At 36.7% G+C, this 26,925-nt stretch overlaps 2 long non-coding RNA genes across 5 annotated transcripts in view, besides 1 other annotated feature; one reads left to right on the top strand and one right to left on the bottom strand.

Moving 5' to 3' along the window:
• The window catches only part of LOC105375630 (uncharacterized), a 559,756-nt gene that overhangs the window by 286,077 nt on the left and 246,754 nt on the right, over window positions 1–26,925 (bottom strand). The window lies entirely within an intron of this gene.
• The window catches only part of LOC105375629 (uncharacterized), a 113,196-nt gene continuing 88,898 nt past the window's right edge, over window positions 2,628–26,925 (top strand). For 2 of the 3 annotated variants that reach the window (XR_928383.4, XR_001745651.3), the window contains exon 1: window positions 13,049–13,132. This is a non-coding gene — a long non-coding RNA (uncharacterized LOC105375629). Of the gene's footprint in view, window positions 2,759–12,911; window positions 13,133–26,925 lie in introns of those variants that run through there. The other variant, XR_007060999.1, reaches the window with a different exon arrangement.
• Window positions 8,918–9,523: an enhancer, noted in NCBI's record as "OCT4-NANOG-H3K27ac hESC enhancer chr8:89604229-89604834 (GRCh37/hg19 assembly coordinates)". NCBI's record gives its function as "activates a minimal SCP1, AML or CMV promoter by ChIP-STARR-seq in primed H9 embryonic stem cells {active_cell/tissue: H9 hESC(primed)}" and the evidence as "EXISTENCE:reporter gene assay evidence [ECO:0000049][PMID:30033119]".

Raw genomic sequence — 26,925 nt, 5'->3', positions numbered from 1 at the left:
GTAGGAGAACACTATAATTAGAAGAGACGAAAATGAAGAATACAGCCAGCTCTGGATAACACCAACATGTGTGGAGTGGGTGAAACAGAAGAAGCCAGTACAGAATAGCTAAGAGAGGGTTAGGTGTAGTGGCTCACACCTGTAAAATCCCAGCACTTTGGGAGGCCAAGACTGGCCAATCACTTAAGCTCAGGAGTTCAAGACAAGCCTGGGCAACATGGTGAAATCCTTTCTCTAAAAAAAATACAAAAATTATCTTGGTGTGGTGGTGTGTGCCTGTGGTCACAGGTATTCAGGTGGCTGAAGCCAGGAGGATCGCTTGAGCCTGGGAGGTCAAGACTGCAGTGAGCTGAGACAGTGCCACTGCACTCCAGCCTGGGTGACAGAGTGAAACCCCATCTCAAAAAGTAATAATAATAAATAAAATGAAACAAAATGGTGAAATCCTTTCTCTAAAAAAAAAATACAAAAATTAGCTGGTTGTGGTGATGCAAGAGAAATCAAGGGAGAATCATTATGTATTACAGGAACAGAAGCTAAAGGAGAATCGATGGCTTTGACTTAAAGGCCAGATCAGTGAGAAGAAACGCTTGATGCCCAATTTCACTGCTATTTATTATTAAAGATGACTATTCAGATGTAACATGGGATAACAGAATGAGCACTGGATTAGGAATCAAGAGTTACTACTCCCTGTTTCACTTGAAACTTATCTCATTCTTAATTTCTCTCATTCTTAATTTTTTAACTTCTCTCATTCTTAATTTCTTTACGTATAACCATGGGATGACAACCATTTCTATAATCAGGCTTAACAGGAAAAATGTCAGATAAAATATGTAAATATGTTCCATAAGTGGTAAAAGACTATAGATTCAAAATATTAATGATATTAAAAATACAGTATAAACAGTAAAATAAAATGTGGCATGTTCCAAAATATTTTTTAAAGAAGTTCATTTTTAGTTCATAACTGAGGACCAACACTATCTGTTGTTTTAGTTTAGGTTATTTTTTCAATTTCCTCTTCTCCACTTGACCCTAAGATAAGACTTCCACTCATGCATGCTCTTTGAACACTGCTGATGCCACTATATTATGAGCAATCAATAAGCCAGTTGCCTTGAAGAGGCAATCTAAAACTAATTTCAGAATTCTTAAAAGATAATTCAATATGTTTGAATCTAAAACAGAGCTATTTGAACCAAATAAAAAAATATGTTATTGTTACACAGAATAAAAGGGAATTTTTAAGTTCCAAAACATCCATTAGGAATTTCAGAGGAATTAAATCAAACAAAAATTACTTATGGGAAATTGACATGTAAATAACATTCAAGTCATTCCATTCAAAAATGTCATCATCTGCCTCATGCGTTATTTCAATTTCCTCTTTATTTCTTAATAAAGTTTAGAAGTTTCTTCACTGGAGTTTTGTTCTGTTCACGAAAGGAGTCTTATTTCCATAAGAGTTCCAAATGGATTACTATTGGTATATATAAGCTATTAATTGTTCTGTATTCATCTGGGAAACAAACATCTTAGTGAACTCTTTTGTTACTTTAAATAGATTTTCATTTTATTCCCTTAAGTTTTCTGTTTAGGCCATCAGAAAGTCTTCAAATAAAGATAACTGGTTTTTGGTTATGAAAGGTTTTAATTCTTAATATTTATTGTCTATGCATTAAAGAAAATTTTATGACAATATGAAATAATTGTAATAAGGTAGTTATCTTCTAATTTTCTTAACTTGTATTTATAAAAGAATCAAGATGTACCACTTTCTGAAGTTGAATGTATTAAGGATCTGCCTTAAATGAATAAAGCCATATATAAGATTAATTAAACCTAAATAATAATTTGAAAGTGGAATTAAACAAGTGCTATGATTTGAATGTTTGTTTCCTCCAAAACTCATGTTGAAATTTTATTGCCATTGTGATGGTATTGGGAGGTGGGGCCTTTAAGAGGTATTTGAGTCATGATGGCTCCATCTTCAGGAATGAACCAATGCCTTTATCCTGGAAGGGGGTTCTCCCTTTCTTGCTCTCTATCTCACTCTCTTTGTTCCCATCCACCATAGAATGATGCAGCAAGAAGGCCCTTGCAAGATACTGGCCTGTTAATCTTAGACTCCCCAGTCTCTGGAACCATGAGCCAAACAATTTGTTTATTATAAATTATTCAATCTGTGGTATCCTCTTATAGTAACACAAAACAAAGACAATGTGCAAGTTTTGATGAAGAATATTTAATAGTGTTTTCCAAATTGTAGGATTAATATAAAAATCATTTTATAGCTAGGTTGTAAGGATAACAGTTGACTGAAGTGATATATAAATGTATAGCTTTCTGATGTTACAGTCTGAGCTTAAGCACAGCGTTATGTCATGCCTTAAGTCTCACCGATACCTGGTTTAGATGAGACTTTGGACTTTTGAGTTGATGCTGGAATGAATTCTTAAGCGGCTATTGGGATGGAATAAATAATATTATTTGTGAGAAGGAGAGGAGGTTTTGGAGCAGTGAGTAGAATGTTGTTGTTGAATGTCTGTCCCTTCTAAAACTCATGTTGAAATGTAATTGCCATTGTGATGTCACTGGGCTGACACAGCAGCTTCTTTTGCTGTGTTGTGCTATTGCCCTCATCTATAAGGTTCCAGATGACTTGCTGTTGTGTCCAGTTTCCAAGCCACAAAATGAAAAACTGAAGGGACAGGAGGAGCACAACCCTTTCCTTAAGGGCTTGCCCTGGCATGTAAATTTACCATTTTATTCATCTCTGATTGACAGAACTTAGTTCCATGGCTGCACTGGCTGCAAAAGGGCTGTGGAATGTATTACTTAGCTAGTCAGACAAGTTCCCAGCTTAATATTCCATTACAATATATAAGAAGGGCAAAACAGGTACTGGGACTCAAGGAAGATAGCTACCAGTATTTGCTAAAATCTTACAGTATTTTGACATATTCACGAGTGCTGATTTTTTTCCTACATTTTCTTGAAACATCTGCTCTCTTCTATGGTCTGAATGTTTTTGTGCCTCTCAAATTCATAGTGAAACCTGACCCTCATTGTGACAGTATTAGAAGGTGGGGCCTTGAGGAAGTCATTAGGTCATTAGGGCTCTGCCCTCATGAATGGAATTAGTGCCATTACACAAGACACTCCTGAGATCTAACTAGTCCCTTTCGCCATGTAAAGACATAGTGAGAAGGTGCCATCTATGAAACAGATAACCCTCATCGACACTGAATCTCCTGGAGTCTTGACTTGGATTTTCTAGTCTCTATAACTCTTAGAAATAATTTTCTCTTGTTTATAAGTACCCAGTTCATGATATTTTTGTTATAGCAGCTTGAATATACTAAGATATTCTCCATGAGCTTCATCTTCAATTTAGTCTGTGGTGGCCATTGTCTCAGAGAAAAGATAACAGTGCCCGAAGTAGGAGGAAATGCATGAGTATGGTTTTTTGAGTTTCAAACACTGAAAGATTCATTGCATTAAGCTTTTTCCTTAAACAATATGTGTAGTGCATATAAATATTTATCAGATTGTGGAGGAGGTAGGAGTTAAAGTGATGTGAAAGAGAAAATAATACACACCCTATTTGTGGAAGGGAGATAGAGAAGAGGAAGCAGACTGACAGCATTTCACATGTCAGCATGTTACTCCTTGGTCCTAAAGAAGCTATCAGATTCTATAGCTGTTTCAAATAATCTCTGGCATAGCACAGAACTATTACAGGTTCTGAAAAATATAATTACATCCACTATCAAATCTTCAACTTTACATTGTCAAAAAAGCCAACTTCCCTCACCCCAGCTTCCATTTAATTTAGTTCTGGACTCTGCAATTTGGTAAACCAAGTGTGTTTTGTTTCTTTTTTTCCACCTTTCTCTTTAGTAACTTGAAGATATGAAAATTCTCATTTACCAGAAAGAGAAAACACAACCACAACCAAAACTTGACAAGTTGCCTGCAAAATGTGTGATAATAGCAGAGAGTAACACTATTGAGGTTTAAAAGAAAACCAAGAATTGGAACAGTTGCCCAGTGCATGTTAATATGCTGTTCTTTTTGCCATAGCTAATTTCTTATTTATGACAAAATCTGTATTGCTTTAGGCAGTTACTTAAAATCGCATTATAGTGATTACTAGGAAGTTTTAGAAACTAAATATAAAGAGTATTAACAATAAATATTGATTGCAGCTGTAAATGAATGTGTGTGAATTTCATTGCCATTTAAGAAAAGAGAGAGATTATATGCTCCAAGAGGTTGGGTGGAAATTATACAGGTGTTAAGTTTTTCATCTGATTTTTGACTGGACTCATGTTGCATCATTTGTTTATCATTGGTCATCTAGTTCTAACTCAAAGTTTAATAAGCATCTAAGGATTAGTCGATTTTTACTCATCTTTTGTTAAATGAGATGAATTTTGCTACTATATTTGTTCCTTCACACTGTGATTTAAAACACTTTTGCTGTATGAATTATTGAATGTTAAAAGATCGGTCACACAAACACAGCATGTTCAAATGACTGCATTAGAAAATATAATATTCTATCTTTTTGATAAGTCTTTTAAATACTATAATGCATTTTTAATTGTGTAATTTATATTTTTATGATTTATTGATTTATTCAAGTTTGGTCAGGTATTAAGAAAAATACTTTGTAAAGAAAAGTATTTAATCCTAAGGAATACCAGTGAGTTCATCATATCTTTCTATTAGTAGTATATTGTATTTCACATCTCCAGTAATGGCACCTCTTCTGTTCACTTTTGTTTCATGCATTTTAAGCTCAGTTATGTCTCTTTCTTCCCTTAACATCCTACTCCCCCATAAGTACCTATACCAGTGTATTTAATATATATCCTTATCTATGAATTTGTCCTATAGTATATGCAGTTTTTGTGGGAAGAGGAAGTATGGTTTCAAATTTACATAAATGTTAATGTTTTCCAAATCTGTTTCTGTTACCTACCTTTATCATTCATCAACATTTTTGAGATTTCTATTGTTCTACAAATAATTAAATTTTTGTTTCCTACTGCAGCTAAGTGTTCAATACTACAGATTTTCAGCACTTTACTGATCCATTACTATAATGATTGATACCCAGGGTCACCCTCAATTCCCAGCCAATATAAATAAGGCTTTAGTGAACATCCTTTCACATGCCACCTTACAGACCTATGTGAAAACATTTCTAAGCTAAATACCCAGGAATGAAATACAGGGCCTTAGAGGATGCAAATACATGGTTTTATTAAATTCAGTCAGGTTGGTCCAGTACAGCCTCACTAATGTACATTTCCCAGTTCAGAGCTCCCATCTATCAACACCTCCAAGAGTAATTATCATTATCCATCTTTCCAATACTTGTCACATTATGAAGTAACTTCTCCTATTGTTTAACTTATTTAATTTGTACTTCTCTAATGAGTTAAAGCAATTCTTTATATACTTGTCAGCCATTCAGGCTTCCTTTTTCGTTTTTCTCTTGGATCTTCATTCTTTTTGGTGATGTGTAAGGTATTTTTTTGTAGTCTACATATTAGTAACTTGTTAGTTTTAAACATTGCAAAAGTCCTTTCTTCATGTCATAACCTGCCAAATTTATCTGTGGAATTTTTGTTCAATATATATTGTTATTTTTGATGTAGCCAAACCCATCATTTTTAAGCCTTAGAAAGTTTACAGCTTTAAAATCTTAAAAAATTTCCCCCAACCTTCAGTCTGCAGGATTATGTTCCTACATTTAAGAGAAGAAACTTCACAAAGAGTCTAAGGTAATCACGTAGGAGTTTACATCTGTTTTCAGATTCCATTTATTTACCCAGTATAAAAAAGTTCACAATAATATTTGTGAATATAATTATATTAAATATATTTTTAAAAATCATGCACTTAACCAGGTAATACAAAATAATTCAATGAGAATAACCATTAAAATATATGAATAAAATTTTCTTTTTTTTTTTTTTTTTTTTTGAGGCGGAGTCTCACTCTGTTGCCAGGCTGGAGTGAAGTGGTTCAATCTCGGCTCAGGGCAACCTCCACTTCCAGGGTTCAAGAAATTCTCCTGCCTCAGCCTCCCAAGTAGCTGGGACTACAGATGAGCACCACCATGCCCAGCTAATTTTTTTGCATTTTTAGTACAGACAGGGTTTCACCATGTTGGCCAGGATGGTCTCAATCTCCTGACTTCGTGATCCACCCACCTAGCCCTCCCAAAGTGCTGGGTTTACAGGCGTGAGCCACCATGCCCAACCAAGACAAAGATTTTCTTTAGGTATCAATGGTAGTTATGAAAAGAAAGTGACTAGAAGAGACCAACAAATGCAAAGCAGTATCTTTAGATGCTTGAATGTGTTCAAATTATGTCCTCTCACTTCAAAATTAACCTGAAACCTAAAAGGATGATTGGAATACAAGCAAACAGTGTGAGGGATATTGCAGAGCCTTTGTAAAAGCAAGTTGAAGAAACAGTAGATGTTCATTTGCACAGAGATAATCATATTCTCACTCCTTACCAATTGTCACAATTTCTTCTCTCCATTAGAATATTGGGTACGTACTTACTCAATAAGTATGCAAAACTACTAACAACATTTAGTGGTGGTCATTTTCCTAGCTATCCATCATTGACTTTCTATCTATTGGTCCAAATTGAGTTCATATTATTTAGAGTAGGGGTCCCCAACCCCTGGGCCATGGACCAGTACCAGTCTGTGGCCTGTTAGGAACCTGGCCGCACAGCAGGAGGTGAGCAGCAGGCTAGGAAGCATTACTGCCTAAGCTCCACCTCCTGTCAGATCAGCAGCAGCATTAGATTCTCTTAGAAGTGCGAACCCTACTGTGAACTGTGCATGGAAGGGATCTAAGTTTCATGCTTCTTATGAGAATCTAATGCCTGATGATGTGTGGTGGGACAGGTTCATCCCAAAACTAAAACTGTCTTCCCCCTGCCATCCATGGAAAAATTGTTTTCCACAAAACCGCTCCCTGGTGCCAAAAAGGTGGGGGACCGCTGATTTAGAGCTTCTAAAATTATTCCTATTTTTTTTTCTTATTCTCATTTCCAACACTCTGCTTGGATGAGCTCCACACCCGTAACTGTCAACAACCACCCATGCATAATCTCCCATTGCCTAAAATCTCTCAGAACAATATATCCAGCATAGGTGCTATTTCCCTTGAAGAACCTCTTTGAATCTCTCTCTTTTGCTCTCCCTCTGGCTCTTTCTCTCTAACACTATATCTCTCTCTCTTCCTTTCCTTTTTTGACCCCCAAAACAATCTCATCCCTATCTGATTGCAGATCCCCTTATAACCCATAACTTACTTCCATAAAAATATTTATAAAAATGAATTGTAAAGATTTTTCTCTCAGAACCTAGATATGAAAAATATTACACAAGTACTACACTTAGTTTGATGGTTGATATGTTTTTTTGTCAGTTGGGGGATGCAGATGGGAAGCAATATGAAGAGATAGAGAGAAATACAAGAAAATTCCATATTTTCACATCTTTGTGTGACTGTGTTTAGCCTGAAGAATAATTTAACTCCAAATTTATTATAAAATGTTATAAAATAACATTTTATTAAAAAGTGCTATTTTGAGACTATATCATTTCAAAAACAAATTTTTACCATAAGCCTTTAGTAACTCAAGATTCTTTTAATTTAATTATCTTAATGTATGTTGTTCAAATTTTGAAAGAAAATTAAAACAGAAAAAAAAGAAAGTGGGCCCCAAACGACAATGCTGCATTTCTTGATACTTTTCTCAATTTTTCTTGCATGATAGTGATTAATGATCCCTGACTTTGGCTGTCTCTTATCAAGTTCCTTCAGGTTCTGATTTAGAAAGTGAAGCTTAACCTTTCTACTCTTGATCAAGGATATGGAGAGCCTTCTGGATAATGACAGACTACAAATGAGAGCTCCTTAAACTGGAAAGAAAAAAGCTGAGAAATAAGATAACGACTTTTAAAATAATGAAGTTTATGGATGGGGTAGACATAAACTTATTCCCAAATTTTAGTCTACTAACATCAGGAGAATTCACTGAGATTTACTTAAAAATAACAATAAAACTGTTAAATTGCAAGTCTTCTATTTATACAGAGCAGTAACAAGTAGTTCATGCACGTAAATAAATTTAAGGAATTTTAGATATATTCATAGAGGATAAATTTAGACTTATTCATAGATGATAAATCTGGATTTAATTAACAAAGTAAGGTAAGAATATTTAGAAATCTATGTCTAAATATAGAGATAAGTAAATTGGGAAAATTTCCACTTCATCTATTCACAAAATATCTGGCTATATAGAACATTTTATTAATCACAGCAAGCATGTTACCCTTTATAAAAATTGTATCTTTGTGCTCTGGATGTTAGATGTGAGGTCTAGAGGTCTGGATATGATAGATTTTTTTCCACCTTGCCCTCACATATCCTTGGCAGAACTCTACACGCTCCTGGAAAGTGTTCCTCCCTGTCCCCAGTAATCCCCTCCCCAACCCCACTCACAACACTCACTGAGTCACCACCATCATTTGTACTACAACCACCAGCGTTAGTCTTCTTAGGCTCTTATCAAAAATAAAAACAAAAAACCCAAGATCCTCAGATCCTATTTAAAAAGTAAAAGACAAGCTGAGCATGGTGGCTCATGCCTGTAATCCCAGTACTTTGAGAGGCCAAGGCGGGCGGATCACTTGAGGTCAGGAGTTCGAGACCAGCCTGGCCAACACAGTGAAAGACCATCTCTACTAAAAATACAAAAAATTGCATGGGCGTGCTGGCCCGCAACTGCAATCCCAATTACTCAGGAGGCTAAGACAGGAAAATCGTTTAAACCCGGGAGGCAGAGGCTGCAGTGAGCCGAGGTCACGCTATGCACTCCAGCCTGGGCAACACAGCAAGACTCCATCTTAAATAAATAAATAAATAAACAATAAAAAGACAATAATACAAGAGTTATTAAGAAATAATTTTTAGGCAGCTAGAAAGGGTGAAAGTTCTCGGTGGAATTTTCCTTTCATAAAAAGCAGCTCAAAACCATTTCCTGTCTAAACAGAAAGCAGCCTGAGAAGTCAGGCATAGACATGCAAAGTAGGAGCTTTTATATGTAAATACTGGCAGCTGTACCTAGAAGCCAGGTACATTCAATATGCCATCTCCTGCCCTCTTTTCCTTACAGGTATCATGGCAGCCTCCAGGTAAAACAACCTGTGCAGGCATTATGGCTGCTGCCAGGTGGAGGCCGTATTTGCATAATAAAAGACTAGGGTGGGAGGGCCAGTCTTTTCCAGGGCTAGGTAAATAGCACACCTGGTCAACCCCTGAGCCCTATGTAAATCAGTCACCACCTCTTCAAGCCTCTGTACAAAACCAATCGTGTTCCCTGGCAAATTGGAGACCCTGTTTTGGGCCACCTGCTTTCGCAGCATCAGGAAGCTTTTTCTCTATCTTTTCTTTTTCTATTAAACTTTCCACTCCTAAACTCACTCCTCATGTGTGTCCCTGTCCTGAATTCTTTCTCGACTGAGACCAAGAGCCAGTGTTTATACTCCAGAAAATTGAGCCCTTTCAGCAATGCTGAGTTTACTTACTTGTCAATCAAGTGAACACACATTAGAAGAAGAAAGGCATTGAGTAGGATAATGAGGGGGAAAGGGTGAGCTTTTTAAGTGCTAGAAAGGTGAGGAGTCTGTGGTGGCTGTGCTTGTTAAGGAATAAAAACTAACCTCTATCAGACAAACCAGCCTACACATCTACACACAGCTGGGCTCAACAACATCTATTTGTTATTTGTCATGAAAAAGCCTCCAGTTAGGGCCACTAAATTTCTGACAAACTTGAAATAACTCAATTCTCTGGTCCTTTAATAACTTTATTTGTTTAGAACCAAGTAACCAAGTATGGAAAAACACAACATTCCATTTGATACCTCCTAAGCAAGGAATACACTGGTCTCCGGAATGAACCTGAAAATCCAGGTTACCCTGATTACCTGGCCTCTAATCTCCTAATCTGATCTCATCTAGCATATCCCCTCAACTCCCAAGACCCTCAGGAAATTATTGTCAATTCTTATCCAAATCTCCTATTCCCTGCAGGTTTTTGTTCATCTGTTTGGAAAGTCCCTCTCTCTTTCTTGTTCAAACTAAAACCTAACTCTGCCCTGATGACTCTGCATCACTCCAGACCCATGAGGAGGTAGCTATCTTTTTCTTAAACAACCTCAGAACATTGGGCTTCAAAGTGTCCTCTATGCTCACATTGCCTCTTCTAGTCCATTCTCCTCGTCCTCCAAAAAACAGCAACAACAACAACAACAACAACAACAGAACCCGCTTTGAATCACATGTCAATAGGCCATGTGATAGATTGAGTGGTCTACCCCCATACTGGCACTGGGTTTGTCCCAGTCATTTGCTTTGCTAATGAAGTAATTACAAACATTATGCAAGTAGGCATTTGCAAATTGCTGACACTTGGGGCTTGCTCTATCTTTGTTTATGGGAATTTTACAACCACTAGAATGTGTAAGAGCCCAGGCAATTATGTTGTTTAACCACAGGCCCTTGGTAAAGTTATCTCATTGCCCACACAGGCCCCCATCAAACTTCTAGATATTTCAGTGAGTTCATCTTCCCCACCTCTAGCCAAATTAATCCAGAGCAAAAAAAAGAATTTCCTAGCTAATCCATAGAATAATGAGACCTAGTAACTGTTTATTGTCTTAAATCTCTAATCATAGAGTGGATTCTTTCATATTGCAAAAGCTAACTAATAAAGATTACATCACCCAATTCTCCTGCTAGACTGTAAACCCTATGAGGACAAAGATAAAATTTTTCTCTCCACTGCTGTAGCTCCATGTCTAGAAAATTTTAGATATTCAACAATGTATTCTTCAATAAATAAAAAGGTTAAATATATTCTTAGATCAATATTGCCCCAAATTAAGTATTCAAATAAAATTAAATATTTACTTTATGGTTCACAGTTCCTAAAAATTAGAATACGTAAATTTCCTAGACAATAATTTTGCTAAAGCTACAGTAAACTTAAATTTTTTCCAACCCTCTCTATTGCAAAATTAAAGTGGTAATGTGATAATGATAACATGGTAATGGTAAATTATAATGATTATAATATTAACATCACATAATTGCTATTATTTATTGAAAATCCCTTGAATCCTCATATTATGTCATCCAATCTTCAAGTGAAACTTCTAAGATAGACAATATTATTATCTCTGTTTTATTGAGGAAAAAACCTGAGCCTTCACAATATTAGCCATTAATCCAAAGTCCCACAGTTAGCAAGTGATCAATTATATATTCAAAACCAGAAATTTCTTATTCCAAGGCATTAGTTATATTCTCTCTCTGAGTGAATCTTATTTATATCCCTGTTCTTAAAATAGTTTTTGAGATAGAAGCAAACTTAGAATAGATCTGATTCCATTTCTCTATTTAGTAGGTGAGGAAACAGAGAGCAATGAGGTCAACTAATGTGTCCAAAAGGACATACAGGATCATTTATTCAATAAATGTGCCATGAATTTAGAGACTAGTAGCAAGTAGGTAACAAATGGAAAGAGAAAAGATGTTTTCATTTATTAAGATTCTACCATGTGCTGAGCACTGGATAGGTGTAGTCATGTGTATAACTTGGTTCATTCCTCACAGGATGTCAGTTAGGTAAGTTCATCATTTCTACTGATGAGGAATCTGGAATTCAGAAGTGACCAGAAGCAAAATAATATGTATGAAATTCAAACGTACTTCTGTCTGAATTCAAATAGCATGCTTTGTCAGTAAATATGCATCAGTTTGGAATTATATTATTTTTTCTGTATTTTTTAGTAGTGTCTTAGGAAGAAAGGCAATTTATCTGAAAAACAATATTCTATTAAAAAGAAATCTCTGTGTAAGAAAATTAGGATCTTCTAATATTTTGCTAGTTAAACTAGTGAACAAGAGGAATAGGGGTTAAGGCAAAAGCCAGGTCAGAGAAGGAAACATGTTGTTTTAAAAAAATTATTCAAAAATATGTTTCTGAAATAGAGCATATGTCAGCTGTGTGCCACACACATACTCTATTTCAGAAACATACACATAAATACACAAACATATACATAAATATATAGAATATATAATAGTGTGTGAGTATATACATATATACTATTAAAACAGAATTCATTAGGATTTCACAATAGGTTTTCCACAAATGTCATTTTTTGTTGTTGTTGTTTTTGTTGTTTGTTTGTTTGTTTGTTTTTGTTTTTGAGATGGAGTCTCATTCTGTAGCCCAGGCTGGAGTGCTGTGGCGCAATCTAGGCTCACTGCAAGCTCCGCCTCCCGGGTTCACGCCATTCTCCTGCCTCAGCCTCCCGAGTAGCTGGGACTAGAGGCGCGCGCCACCATGCCCAGATAATTTTTCATATTTTTCAGTAGAGACGGGGTTTCACTGTGTTAGCCAGGATGGTCTCGATCTCCTGACCTCGTGATCCACCTGCCTCGGCCCCCCAAAATGCTGGGATTATAGGCGTGAGCCACCATGCCCGGCCCACAAATGTCATTTTTCTGTTCCAGGATCCATTGTAGGATCCCACATTAATGGTCATGTCCGATAGTCTCATACATGCGCTTTTATTCCCCCAGTGCCTTTAAATGTATTGTTCCTTCCCTCCCTTGACTTTTCCTCCCTTGCCTGCTTGGTGACCCTGTCATTTTTTTTCCGCATAATTTCAACTTTTATTTTAGATTCAGGAAGTACATATGAAAGTTTTTTATATGCTGATGAATATATTAAAACTATAATACAATTCAATCTTTTTTCTTCTGTAATAAAAATTGCTACAGGTTAACAATCTGGAAATTAAATCAAGGTTCTGCTTATACAGTACCCATAAGAGGCACAAGAATATCTTTTAAAATATCAGGAGGCACTTATCTTCAAGACTGTACATGAAGGAGTAATCCACCTAGAAAAACCAGGCTTCAGTGGCCAGGTTCAGCATTCCATGTCAGTGGTGATCATTTTACTGAGAAGGAAGCCATGGGATGGGCAGGTTCTTCTAAAGGTAACTGCAGCATTTTAATTACCTAACTGTCTATCTTCTGAACCAGACTGTGAGTTATTTAAGTGATTGAAATTAATAATTGATGAATGAATTAATTAATGGATGAGGCAAGGGTTGGAATAAGGTTACCAAGTGAAAAATTTAGTGTACTTGTAATATATGATCATCTTAGTCAGAGACAGGTCAGGATGACACAATATAGATGAAAACTTACAAAAATGCATCAATGTGTAACATTTTAAAACATATTTTACACTCAATGAATCTTTGCTCCAGATACTACAAATGACAAAGAAGATCACAAGTTATTTTTAAATTTTTATGTATTAAAATATTGTTAAGAATATTATCAAAGCTTGAAATGCCTCCTATTTCCATGGGTTTAGAGTAGTGAAATATTAAAATGCATTTTAATATACTGATTAAAACAGCCCCAAACTAGATGAGAGTTACCATTTTACATTAACATAATGCCAATTTCAATTTAAATACATCTCCATATCTTTTGATCAGAATCATGTTAATATCCAAGTTTATTACCTCTTAACAGAGACTTATTCCATTTAGAGGTTATATGAATATGTTAGTTGTTAAGCATACTTACAACAGTTGAAATTTCTTAATTAAAAATTTTAATTGAAATACAAAATGTGCAGCATAGCAGTAGGCAAAGCAAGCCAGATACAATTCTTTTTGTGTGTCTTTGGCTGTTGTCTCCTTTCCATTACACTTGAGAACCCAGGAAGATAAGTTAATAACCTTTTCAGCTTAACTTCATTTATTCTAATAATTGTAAATGATATTCAGAAATGCTATTTTTTCTGGGTTTAATTCTAAAAATCTTTCCTCCATACCCTAAAAACCTATCTTCTGTGCTTTCTGAGAAATAGCAAGTGCTTTAATGGGGCAACCACCTTGACTACTTATTGGAAGTGATTTCCTACACAGCCTGGTTGCTATGAATCAGTATTCATGTCATAAAAAATATTAGATTATTTGAGGGAAAAATATCACTATAGAAATCTTTAACTAGGTTACTAATCGTATGCTATTAAAGACATGTACCACACATTCAGGATTTAAAACATTATCTTTTGGGACATACTGACAGGCAGTCAGGAAATAAATTTTTCAGTTAGAATGTGACCACCAAATACTGTCTTATTGACTGACAGTTCCATTATGAATTTAAGCTGGGGATATAAAGTAGTCAATTGAACTACACATTTATCACTACCTGCAGTTGTGGACAAGAGGAAAAGAACTTGTTAACATGGGTAGGTGGAGGTTACAGTTTCCAGGAGCTATTGATTTAGTTCTGTCTGCAACTCAATTACAATTGAAGTGTATGGGGAAGAGGGAGATTGGGAAACTAAGGCTAAAACAAAATGTAAGTAATTATTTAAAATACAGAAAATCATGGGCGAAATGTACAGCATGTGGGAACCTGGATTTAGTCCAAAGTGAACCTTGAAGACCTAGAGCTAGAGTTGCCATTAACAGACATGAAATCAGTGGCAAACTACTTAAATTTTTTAAGCATTAATGTGTTCATCTGAAAAAAAAAAGTGAAGGGGTTTTAGTAGTTTCAGTAATGGCATGAATCAACACTCAAAGTGCTTAATTTTGTAAGGACCATGTTGGAATTCTCGTTTTATTATGGGCTCTTAAAATCTCATGACAAAAAGCATCCATCATTGGTAAAGCCTTAAGTTGGAACTGGAAACAAAGGACATCTTGAAATAAAGTAACATCAATAAATAAGAAAAATTATACAATTACTACATATAATATAGAGAATAAAACCTCAGCATTGAAGGTCATGGCTCAATATATAATCATAAATTAGAATGCTGAATGGAAAACTCACTGGGTGGACTAATCTATTGAAAAGACAATCCAATTGTTTTTAAGTCAAGTTTTCAGATCTTCCAATGATATAAAGGGAAGAGAATACATACTTAGAAAGGTTGTCTTTTCTGCCCTTTAGGCTTAGTGACTACAGTACAATACCATTTCATTTGGTATGCCTCTTAAATTCCAAATGCAAACAGAAACTGCCAAAATGTATTCATCAGAATTGCATCATGAAACATATATGATACCCTATATATTTTTCAGAATTTACTATTAAAAAATAAGTTGGAAATCAAGCATTGAAATTTTGTCACTGTCCTTGCTATTTGATATTATTTATCCTAGGATTATATGGCCTGAAGACCACTGATTATAACCATAAAATATAAAAGAATAACAGAAGGTATTCTCTCTTTCTTTTTCTCTTTCTTAATTAATCACATTGTCCATGATATAAGTCAAAACCCAGAAAACATAAAAATAATCAAGATTAAAGTAAATAAAAACTGAAATAAAAGAGTAGAGGTAGAAAATCATTCTTAACAAGTCCTGGACAATTGATAATGATGAAGTAAAACTATTCCAAGATGTGTATTGTGATTATTTTGTTTGATTTTTTTCACCATCAAAAGAGTCAATAACATAACTTTTATCAGGAGAGGAAAAAATCAACTTTAGAAAGTCAAAAGTAGAGAAAAACTATATTTGAACTATACAATCTTATTGTTGAGATTTTAAGGACTTGTTTGTTCACTAAAATGTAAAACAATTCTATTCATTAAAAATAATTATTTTGATAGAAGGAATATACCTGAACATAATAAAAGCCATATACAACAGACCAACAGCTAGTATTATACTGAATGTGGAAAAATTGAAAGCCTTTCCTCTAAGATCTGGAGCACGACAAGGATGCCCACTGTTACCACTGTTATTCAACATAGTACTGGAAGTCCTTGCTAGAGCAATCAGACAAGAGAAAAAAATAAAGGGCATCCAAATTGGAAAGGAAGAAGTTAAATTATGCTTGGTGACTGCTGATATGATGTTATATTTGGAAAATCCTAAAGACTCCACACACACACACAAAAAAAAACTATTAAAACTGATAAACAAATTCAGGAAAGTTGCAAGTTACAAAACCAACATACAAAAATTAGTAGCATTTATATATGTCAATAGTAAACAACGTGAAAAAGAAAAAAATGTAATCCCATTTATAATAGCCACACATACAATTAAATACCTAAGAATTAACTTAACCAAATACATCAAAGATCTCTGTTATCAAAAGTATAAAACACTGAGGACAAGATGGCTGACTGGAAGCAGCAGCAATCAGAGACTCCCATTGATAAGATCCAAAACTCATGCTAATCCTACACCAGCAACTGAGATATTCAGGTTCTGTCATTAGAACTGACTAGGCCGCTTGTGTGGCCCATAGAAAGAAAGGAACAGCAGTGTGGTGCGGCAGCCCACCTGAAAGCCACATGGGGGAGGGGAGGCCCCACCTCCAGCCAAGGGAGACCATAAGTAAGCATGCTACCCAGCCTGGGAAACCATGCTTTTTCTATGAAACTGTGCAACCCACAGATCGGAATATCCCACTTGTGAGCTCACACCACCAGGGGCACTGGGCTAGAATCTGCCTAAGCCTGCCGAGTTCCCGGAGGGGAGGGTAGCCATCATCACTGTCTGCTGTCTAGGCTGGCTAAACTCCTTGCAGGAGGGGCAGCAGCAAACACTGTGGTTGCAGGGCCTCCTTGCAGGAACCCCAACAACTCCAGCCAGGGGCTCAGGAACAGAACTCTGATCTCCCTGGGCCTGAGCCCCTAGGGAGAGGGGCGGCCATAGTCTCCATGGTCCAGCAGACTTAGTCTTTCTTCCTACTAGCTCTGAGGAATCTGAGCAGCCTAGATAAGAGAGTTTCCCTCCAGCACAGCACACCCTCTCCACCAAGGGACAACCAAAATGTTTCATTAAATGGGGCTTGCTTCCCATGCCACCCAACTGGATGAGACACCCCAACAGGTGTTGTCAGACACTCCATACAGGAGTGTTCCTACTGTTACCAGGTTGATGCCCCATGAGGTTATAGATCCCAGAGGAAGAAGCAGTCACCCATCTTTGCTGTTCTCCAGCCTCCTCAAGTGACATCTCAAGGTGTGGGAGCAAATCTGATGAATAGAGCCTGAAGTGAACCCCCAGAAAACTGCAGCAGCCCTACAGAAGAGGGACCTGACTACTGAAAGAAAAACAAACAGAAAGCAACAACAGTATCAACAAAAAAAGTCCCCACAAAAATGCCATTCAAGGGTCATCAGCCTCAAAGATCAAAACTAGACAAACTCATGAACATAAGGAATCAGTGAAAAAACCACTGAAAACCCATAAGGCCAGAGTGTCTCTTCTCCAAATGATCACACCACCTCTCCAGCAAGGGTGCAGAACTCGATGGAGGATGAGATAGACGAATTGACAGAAGTAGGATTCAGAAGATGGGTAATAAACTTTGCTGAGGTAAAGGAGCATCTTCTAACCCAATGCAAACAAACTGAGAACCTTGATAAAAGGTTAACAGAGCTGCTAACTAAAATAATCAGTGTAGAGAAAAACATAAATGACTTGATGGAGCTGAAAAACACAGCACAAGAACTTCATGAGGCATACACAATTATTAGTAGCCAAATCGATCAACTGGAAAAAGAATATCAGAGATGGAAGACTATCTTGCTGAAAGAAGGTAGACAGACAAGAATAGAGAAAAAAAGAATGAAAGCAAATGAACAAAACTTACAAGAAATATGGGACTATGTGAAAAGTCTGTACCTACGACTGATTGGAATACCTGAAAGAGACGGGGAGAATGGAACCAAGTTGGAAAACACACTTCAGGATATTATCCAGGAGAACTTCCCCAACCTAGCAAGACAGACCAACATTCAAATTTAGGAAATACAGAGAACCCTACTAAGATACTCCACAAGAAGATCAACCCTAAGACAGATAATCATCAGATTCTCCAAGATCGAAATGAAAGAAGAAATGTTAAGGACAGTCAGAGAGAAAGGCAAGGTCACCTACAAGAGAAGCCCATCAGACTAACAGTGGATCTCTCAGCAGAAACTCTACAAGCCAGATGAAAGTGGGGGCCAATATTCAATATTCTTAAAGAAAAGAATTTGCAACCCAGAATTTCATATCCAGCCAAACTAAGCTTCATAAGCAAAGAAAAAATAAAATCCTTTTCACACAAGCAAATGCTGAGGGAATTTGTCACCACCAGGCCTGCCTTGCAAGAGCTCCTGAAGGAAACACTGAATATGAAAAGGAAAAACCTGTTCTTGCCACTGCAAAACACATGAAAGTATAAAGACCAATGACTCTATGAAGCAATGGCATCAACTACTGTGAAAATAACCAGCTAGCATCATGAGGACAGGATCAAATTCACACATAACAATATGAACCTTAAATGTAAATGTGCTAAATGTCCCCAATTAAAAGACACCAACTGGCAAATTGGATAGAGTCAAGATCCATCAGTATGCTCTATTCAAGAGACCCATCTCATGTGCAAAGACACACATAGACTCAAAATAAAGGGATGGAGGAAAATTTACCAAGCAAATGGAAAGCAGAAAAAAGCAGGGGTTGCAATCCTAGTCTCTAACAGAACAGACCTTAAACCAACAAAGATCAAAAAAGACAAAGAAGCACATTACAAAATGGTAAAGGGATCAATTCAACAAGAAGAGCTAACAATCCTAAATATATATGCACCCAATACAGGAGCACACAGATTTATAAAATAAGTTCTTAGAAACTAACAGAGAGACTTCCACTCCCACACAATAATATTGGGAAACTTTAGCACCCCAATGCCAATATTAGATCAATGAGACAGAAAATTAACAAGGATATTCAGGACTGGAACTCAGCTCTGGATCAAGTGGACCTTAATAGACATCTACAGAACTCTCCATTCCAAATCAACAGAACATACATTCTTCTCAGTGCTACATGACACTTATTCTAAAATCAACCACACAGTTAAAAGTAAAACACTGCTAAGCGAATGCAAAAAAAATGAAATCATAACAAGCAATCTCTCAGACCACAGTGCAATGAAATTAGAACTCAGGATTAAGAAACTCACTCAAAACCATACAACTACATGGAAATTGAACAACTTGCTCCTGAATTACTCCTGGGTAAATAATGAAATTAAGGCGATATCAAGAAGTTCTTTGAAACCAATGAGAACAAAGAGAAAACATACCAGAATCTCTGAGATGCAGCTAAAGCCATGTTAAGAGAAAAATTTATAGCACTAAATGCCCACATCAGAAAGTTAGAAACATCTCAAATCACCACCCTACATCAAAATTAAAATCACTAGAGAAGCAAGAGGAAATAAATCCAAAAGCTACCAGAAGACAGAGTGGAACTAAAGTAGATAGAGACACAAAAAAACCCTTCAATAAATCAAGAAGCTGATTTTTGAAAAAAATTGATAAAATAAATATACCACTACCTAGACTAATAAAGAAGAAAAGAGAACAGAATCAAATAGACACAATAAAAATGATAAAAGGGATATCACCACTGACCCCACAGAAATACAAACTACCATCAGAGAATAGTATAAACACCTCTATGCAAATAAAGTAGAAATGCTAGAAGAAATGGGTAACTTCCTGGACACATACACCCTCCCAAGACTAAACCAGGAAGAAGTCCAATCCCTGAATAGACCAATAACAAGTTCTGAAATTGAGGCAGTAATAAATCACCTACCAACAAAAAAAAGCCCAGGACCAAATGGATTCACAGCCAAATTTTACTAGAGGTACAAAGAGGAGCTGGTACCATTCATTCAGAAACTATTTCACACAATTGAAAAGGAGTGATTCCTCTGTAACTCATTTTATGATGCCAGCATCATCCTGATAGCAAAACCTGGCAGAGACACAACAAAAAAAGAAAACTTCAGACCAATATCCCTGATGAACATCGAGGCAAAAATCTTCAATAAACTAGTGGCAAACTGAATCCAGCAGCACCTCAAAAAGCTTATCCACCACGATCAAGTTGGCTTCAACTTTGGGATGCAAGGCTGGTTCAACATGAAAATCAATAAATGTTATCCATCACATAAACAGAACCAATGACAAAAACCACATGATTATTTCAATAGATGAAGGAAAGGCCTTTGATAAAATTCAACATCCATTCATGTTAAAAATTCTTAATAAACTAGGTATTGATGGAACATACCTCAAGATAATAAGAGCTATTTATGACAAACCCACAGCCCATATCATACTGAAAGGGCAAAGCTGGAAGCATTGCCTTTGAAAAACCTTATATATAATAAATGTATAACTGTACATTTGTATTTTGGAAATATTTCGTTACACTATAAGGAAGCCTCATTTTTAATTAAAACGATGAGCCATGGGTGATACTGCAAAACAAAATATCTACATTCATATTCTTATTATTTAAAATGTGATTTAAATGTCTTTTACATATATATATATATATATATATATATATATATATATATATATATATATATATATAAAATTTATGTCAGTGTGGTGGCAAGCAAGATTTCCTACCACAATGGATTCCTTCTACTTGGGCATGTCTCTTAAAATGACTATTACTTTCTTATTATGTTAATATTTTTCTGCATATATAATATTCTCCCTTGGTAGATTTTATATAACGTTTTCAACTCATGCTTTCAGTAAAGGTGACCTTTAAAATATATGTTTCCAAAATAGGAAATGCAAATCTTAATAGAGAATTACATCTCTACAAACTAAGAGTTCCTGAGGACATACAGGTCACTGTACTTTATTTGTACAGGAAATTTTGAAATACAATAAAATAGAAGTAAATTAATTAAATACCATTTTATACTATGCTTACATAAATAATAAAACTAACAAATCCAATTGTTCTCAAACTCTAGCAACCTGATCATCCCTCTAACTGTTGCACTTTGAACAATGCTATAAATTTTCATCATACATTACTTATAATTTTCTAGTATAACCTTGTTTAAATGTTGACTATTAAAATAAGCAATGACGTTATTGATGAAACATAATGAAAAAAACAACAAAAATGCATACGATACATTGTCCTTTCCAAAAAATATAAAGTTTTAATTATTAATTTGTTATTGTGGGGTTGAATACTTAAAAACCTTTTAAATATCAACTACCATATTTTTCATAAAAATGTTTACAGCCACAATCAATATATATGATGGCCTCTATTTCTTTTTTGTTTTTTTTTTATACTTTAAGTTTTAGGGTACATGTGCAAAACATGCAGGTTAGTTACATATGTATACATGTGCCATGTTGGTGTGCTGCACCCATTAACTTGTCATTTAACATTAGGTATATCTCCTAATGCTATCCCTCCCCACTCCCCCCACCCCACAACAGGCCCTGGTGTGTGATGTTCCCCTTCCCATGTCCATGTGTTCTCATTGTTCAATTCCCACCTATGAGTGAGAACATGCGGTGTTTGGTTTTTTGTCCTTGCGATAGTTTGCTGAGAATGATGATTTCCAGCTTCATCCATGTCCCTGCAAAGGACATGAACTCATCATTTTTTATGGCTGCATAGTATTCCATGGTGTATATGTGCCCCATTTTCTTAATCCAGTATATCATTGTAGGACATTTGGCTTGGTTCCAAGTCTTTGCTATTGTGAATAGTGCCACAATAAACATACGTGTGCATGTGTCTTTATAGCAGCATGATTTATAATCCTTTGGGTACATACCCAGTAATGGGATGGCTGGGTCAAACGGTATTTCTAGTTCTAGATCCCTCAGGAATCGCCACACTGAATTCCACAATGGTTGAACTAGTTTCCAGTCCCACCAACAGTGTAAAAGTGTTCCTATTTCTCCACATCCTCTCCAGCATCAATTATTTCTTGACTTTTTAATGATCGCCATTCTAACTGGTGTGAGATGGTATCTCATTGTGGTATTGATTTGCATTTCTCTGATGGCCACTGATGATGAGCATTTTTTCATGTGTCTTTTGGCTGCATAAATGTCTTCTTTTGAGAAGTGTCTGTTCATATCCTTTGCCCATTTGTTGATGGGCTTGTTTTTTTTTTTTTTTTTTCTTGTAAATTTGTTTTGGTTCATTGTAGATTCTGGATATTAGCCCTTTGTCAGTGAGTAGATTGCAAAAATTTTCTCCCATTCTGTAGGTTGCCTGTTCGCTCTGATGGTAGTTTCTTTTGCTGTGCAGAAGCTCTTTAGTTTAATTAGATCCCATTTGTCAATTTTGGCTTTTGTTGCCATTGCTTTTGGTGTTTTAGACATGAAGTCCTTGCCCATGCCTATGTCCTGAATGGTATTGCCTAGGTTTTCTTCTAGGGATTTTATGGTTTCAGGTCTAATATTTAAGTCTTTAATCCATCTTGAATTAATTTTTGTGTAAGGTGTAAGGAAGGGATCCAGTTTCAGCTTTCTACATATGGCTAGCCAGTTTTCCCAGCACCATTTATTAAATAGGGAATCCTTTCCCCATTTCTTGTTTTTGTCAGGTTTGTCAAAGATCAGATGGTTGTAGATATGTGGCATTATTTCTGAGGGCTCTGTTCTGTTCCATTGATCTATATCTCTGTTTTGGTACCAGTACCATGCTGTTTTGGTTACTGTAGCCTTGTAGTATAGTTTGAAGTCAGGTAGCGTGATGCCTCCAGCTTTGTTCTTTTGCCTTAGGATTGACTTGGCAATGCCGGCTCTTTTTGGTTCCATATGAACTTTAAAGTAGTTTTTTCCAATTCTGTGAAGAAAGTCATTGGTAGCTTGATGGGGATGGCATTGAATCTATAAATGACCTTGGGCAGTATGGCCATTTTCATGACGTTGATTCCTCCTACCCATGAGCATGGAATGTTTTTCCGTTTCTTTGTATCCTCTTTTATTTCATTGAGCAGTAGTTTGTAGTTCTCCTTGAAAAGTTCCTTCACATCCCTTGTAAGTTGGATTCCTAGGTATTTTATTCTCTTTGAAGCAATTGTGAACGGGAGTTCACTCATGATTTGGCTCTCTGTTTGTCTGTTATTGGTGTATAAGAATGCTTGTGATTTTTGTACATTGATTTTGTATCCTGAGACTTTGCTGAAGTTGCCTATCAGCTTAAGGAGATTTTGGGCTGAGACGACGGGGTTTTCTAGACATACAATCATGTCATCTGCAAACAGGGACAATTTGACTTCCTCTTTTCCTAATTGAATACCCTTTATTTCCTTCTCCTGCGTGATTGCCCTGGCCAGAACTTCCAACACTATGTTGAATAGGAGTGGTGAGAGAGGGCATCCCTGTCTTGTGCCAGTTTTCAAAGGGAATGCTTCCAGTTTTTGCCCATTCAGTATGATATTGGCTGGGGTTTTGTCATAGATATCTCTTATTATTTTGAGATACGTCCCATCAATACCTAATTTATTGAGAGTTTTTAGCATGAAGCATTGTTGAATTTTGTCAAAGACCTTTTCTGTATCTATTGAGACAATCATATGGTTTTTGTCGTCGGTTCTGTTTATATGCTGGATTACGTTTATTGATTTGCACATGTTGAACCAGCCTTGCCTCCCAGGGATGAAGCCCACTTGATCATGGTGGATAAGCTTTTCGATGTGCTGCTGGATTTGGTTTGCCAGTAGTTTATTGAGGATTTTTGCATCGATGTTCATCAGGGATATTGGTCTAAAATTCTCTTTTTTTGTTGTGTCTCTGCCAGGCTTTGGTATCAGGATGATGCTGGCCTCATAAAATGAGTTAGGGAGGATTCCCTCTTTTTCTATTGATTGGAATAGTTTCAAAAGGAATGGTACCAACTCCTTCTTGTACCTCTGGTAGAATTCAGCTGTGAATCCATCTGGTCCTGGACTTTTTTTGGTTGGTAAGCTATTAATTATTGCCTCAATTTCAGAGCCTGTTATTGGTCTATTCAGAGATTCGACTTCTTCCTGGTTTAGTCTTGGGAGGGTGTATGTGTCGAGGAATTTACCCATTTCTTCTAGATTTTCTAGTTTATTTGCATAGAGGTGTTTATAGTATTCTCTGATGGTAGTTTGTATTTCTGTTGGATCGGTGGTGATATCCCCTTTATCATTTTTTATTGCATCTATTTGATTCTTGTCTCTTTTCTTCTTTATTAGTCTTGCTAGTGGTCTATCAATTTTGTTCATCTTTTCAAAAAACCAGCTCCTGGATTCACTGATTTTTTGAAGGGTTTTTGTGTCTCTATTTCCTTCAGTTCTGCTCTGATCTTAGTTGTTTCTTTCCTTCTGCCAGCTTTTGAATGTGTTTGCTCTTGCTTCTCTAGTTCTTTTAATTGTGATATTAGGGTGTCAATTTTAGATCTTTCCTGCTTTCTCTCGTGGGCATTTAGTGCTATAAATTTCCCTCTACACACTGCTTTGAATGCATCCCAGAGATTATGGTATGTTGTGTCTTTGTTCTCGTTGGTTTCAAAGAACATCTTTATTTCTGCCTTCATTTCGTTATGTACCCAGTAGTCATTCAGGAGCAGGTTGTTCAGTTTCCATGTAGTTGAGTGGTTTTGAGTGAGTTTCTTAATCCTGAGTTCTAGTTTGATTGCATTGTGGTCTGAGAGACAGTTTGTTGTAATTTCTGTTCTTTTACATTTGCTGAGGAGTGCTTTACTTCCAACTATGTGGTCAATTTTGGAATAAGTGCGATGTGGTGATGAGAGGAATGTATATTCTGTTGATTTGGGGTGAAGAGTTCTGTAGATGTCTATTAGGTCCGCTTGGTGTAGAGCTGAATTCAATTCCTGGATATCCTTGTTAACTTTCTGTCTCGTCGATCTGTCTAATGTTCACAGTGGAGTGTTAAAATTTCCCATTATTATTGTGTGGTAGTCTAAGTCTCTTTGTAGGTCTCTAAGGACTTGCTTTATGAATCTGGATGCTCCTGTATTGGGTGCATATATATTTAGGATAGTTAGCTCTTCTTGAATTGACCTCTTTACCATTATGTAATGGCCTTCTTTGTCTCTTTTGATCTTTGTTGGTTTAAAGTCTGTTTTATCTGAGACTAGGATTGCAACCCCTGCCTTTTTTTTGTTTTCCATTTGCTTGGTAGATCTTCCTCCATCCCTTTATTTTGAGCCTATGTGTGTCTCTGCACGTGAGATGGGTTTCCTGAATACAGCACACTGATGGGTCTTGACTCTATCCAATTTGCCAATCTGTGTCTTTTAATTGGAGCACTTAGCCCATTTACATTTAAGGTTAATATTGTTAGGTGTGAATTTGATCCTGTCATTATGATGTTAGCTGGTTATTTTGCTCATTAGTTGATGCAGTTTCTTCTTAACCTCGATGGTCTTTACAATTTGGCATGTTTTGCAGTGGCTGGTACCGGTTGTTCCTTTCCATGTTTAGTGCTTCCATGTTTTAGGGCAGGCCTGGTGGTGACAAAATCTCTCAGCATTTGCTTGTCTGTAAAGGATTTTATTTCTCCTTCACTTATGAAGCTTAGTTTGGCTGGATATGAAATTCTGGGTTGAAAATTCTTTTCTTTAAGAATGTTGAATATTGGCCCCCACTCTCTTCTGGCTTATAGAGTTTCTGCCAAGAGATCGGCTGTTAATCTGATGGGCTTCTGTTTGTGGGTAACCTGACCTTTCTCTCTGGCTGCACTTAACATTTTCTCCTTCATTTCAACTTTAAGGAATCTGAAAATTATATGTCTTGGAGTTGCTCTTCTCGAGGAGTATCTTTGTGGCATTCTCCGTATTTCCTGAATTTGAATGTTGGCTTGCCTTGCTAGATTGGGGAAGTTCTCCTGGATAATATCCTGCAGAGTGTTTTCCAACTTGGTTCCATTCTCCCTGTCACTTTCAGGTACACCAATCAGACGTAGAGTTGGTCTTTTCACATAGTCCCATATTTCTTGGAGGCCTGTTCATTTCTTTTTATTCTTTTTTCTCTAAACTTCTCTTCTTGCTTCATTTCATTCATTTGATCTTCCATCACTGATACCCTTTCTTCCAGTTGATCGAATCGGCTACTGAGGCTTGTGCATTCATCACGTAGTTCTTGTGCCTTGGTTTTCAGCTCCATCAGGTCCTTTAAGGACTACTCTGCATTGGTTATTCTAGTTAGCCATTCATCTAATATTTTTTCAAGGTTTTTAACTTCTTTGCCATGGGTTCAAACTTCCTCCTTTAGCTCAGAGTAGTTTGATCATCTGAAGCCTTCTTCTCCCAACTTGTCAAAGTCATTCTCTATCCAGTTTTGTTCCATTGCTGGTGAGGAGCTGCGTTCCTTTGGAGGAGGAGAAGCACTCTGATTTTTAGAGTTTGCAGTTTTTCTGCTCTGTTTTTTCCCCATGTTTGTGGTTTTATCTACCTTTGGTCTTTGATGATGGTGACGTACAGATGGGGTTTTGGTGTGGATGTCCTTTCTGTTTGTTAGTTTTCCTTCTAACAGTCAGGACCCTCAGCTACAGGTCTGTTGGAGTTTGCTGGAGGTCCACTCCAGACCCTGTTTGCCTGGGTATCGGCAGCGGAGGCTGCAGAACAGCGGATATTGGTGAGCAGTAAATGTTGCTGCCTGATCGTTCCTCTGGAAGTTTTGTCTCAGAGGAGTACCTGGCCGTGTAAGGTGTCAGTCTGCCCCTACTTGGGGGTGCCTCCCAGTTAGGCTACTTGGGGGTCAGGGATTTACTTGAGGAAGCAGTCTGTCCATTCTCAGATCTCCAGCTGTGTGCTGGGAGAACCACTACTCTCTTCAAAGCTGTCAGACAGGGACATTTAAGTCTGCAGAGGATTCTGCTGCCTTTTGTTTGGCTATTCCCTGCCCCCAGAGGTGGAGGCTACAGAGGTGGGCAGGCCTCCTTGAGCTGTGG

This window comes from Homo sapiens, chromosome 8, assembly GCF_000001405.40.
Source record: "Homo sapiens chromosome 8, GRCh38.p14 Primary Assembly".
Lineage (NCBI taxonomy): Eukaryota > Metazoa > Chordata > Mammalia > Primates > Hominidae > Homo > Homo sapiens.
Note: the sequence above shows the minus strand (reverse complement) of the source record. Positions and strands in the feature narration are given on the sequence as shown.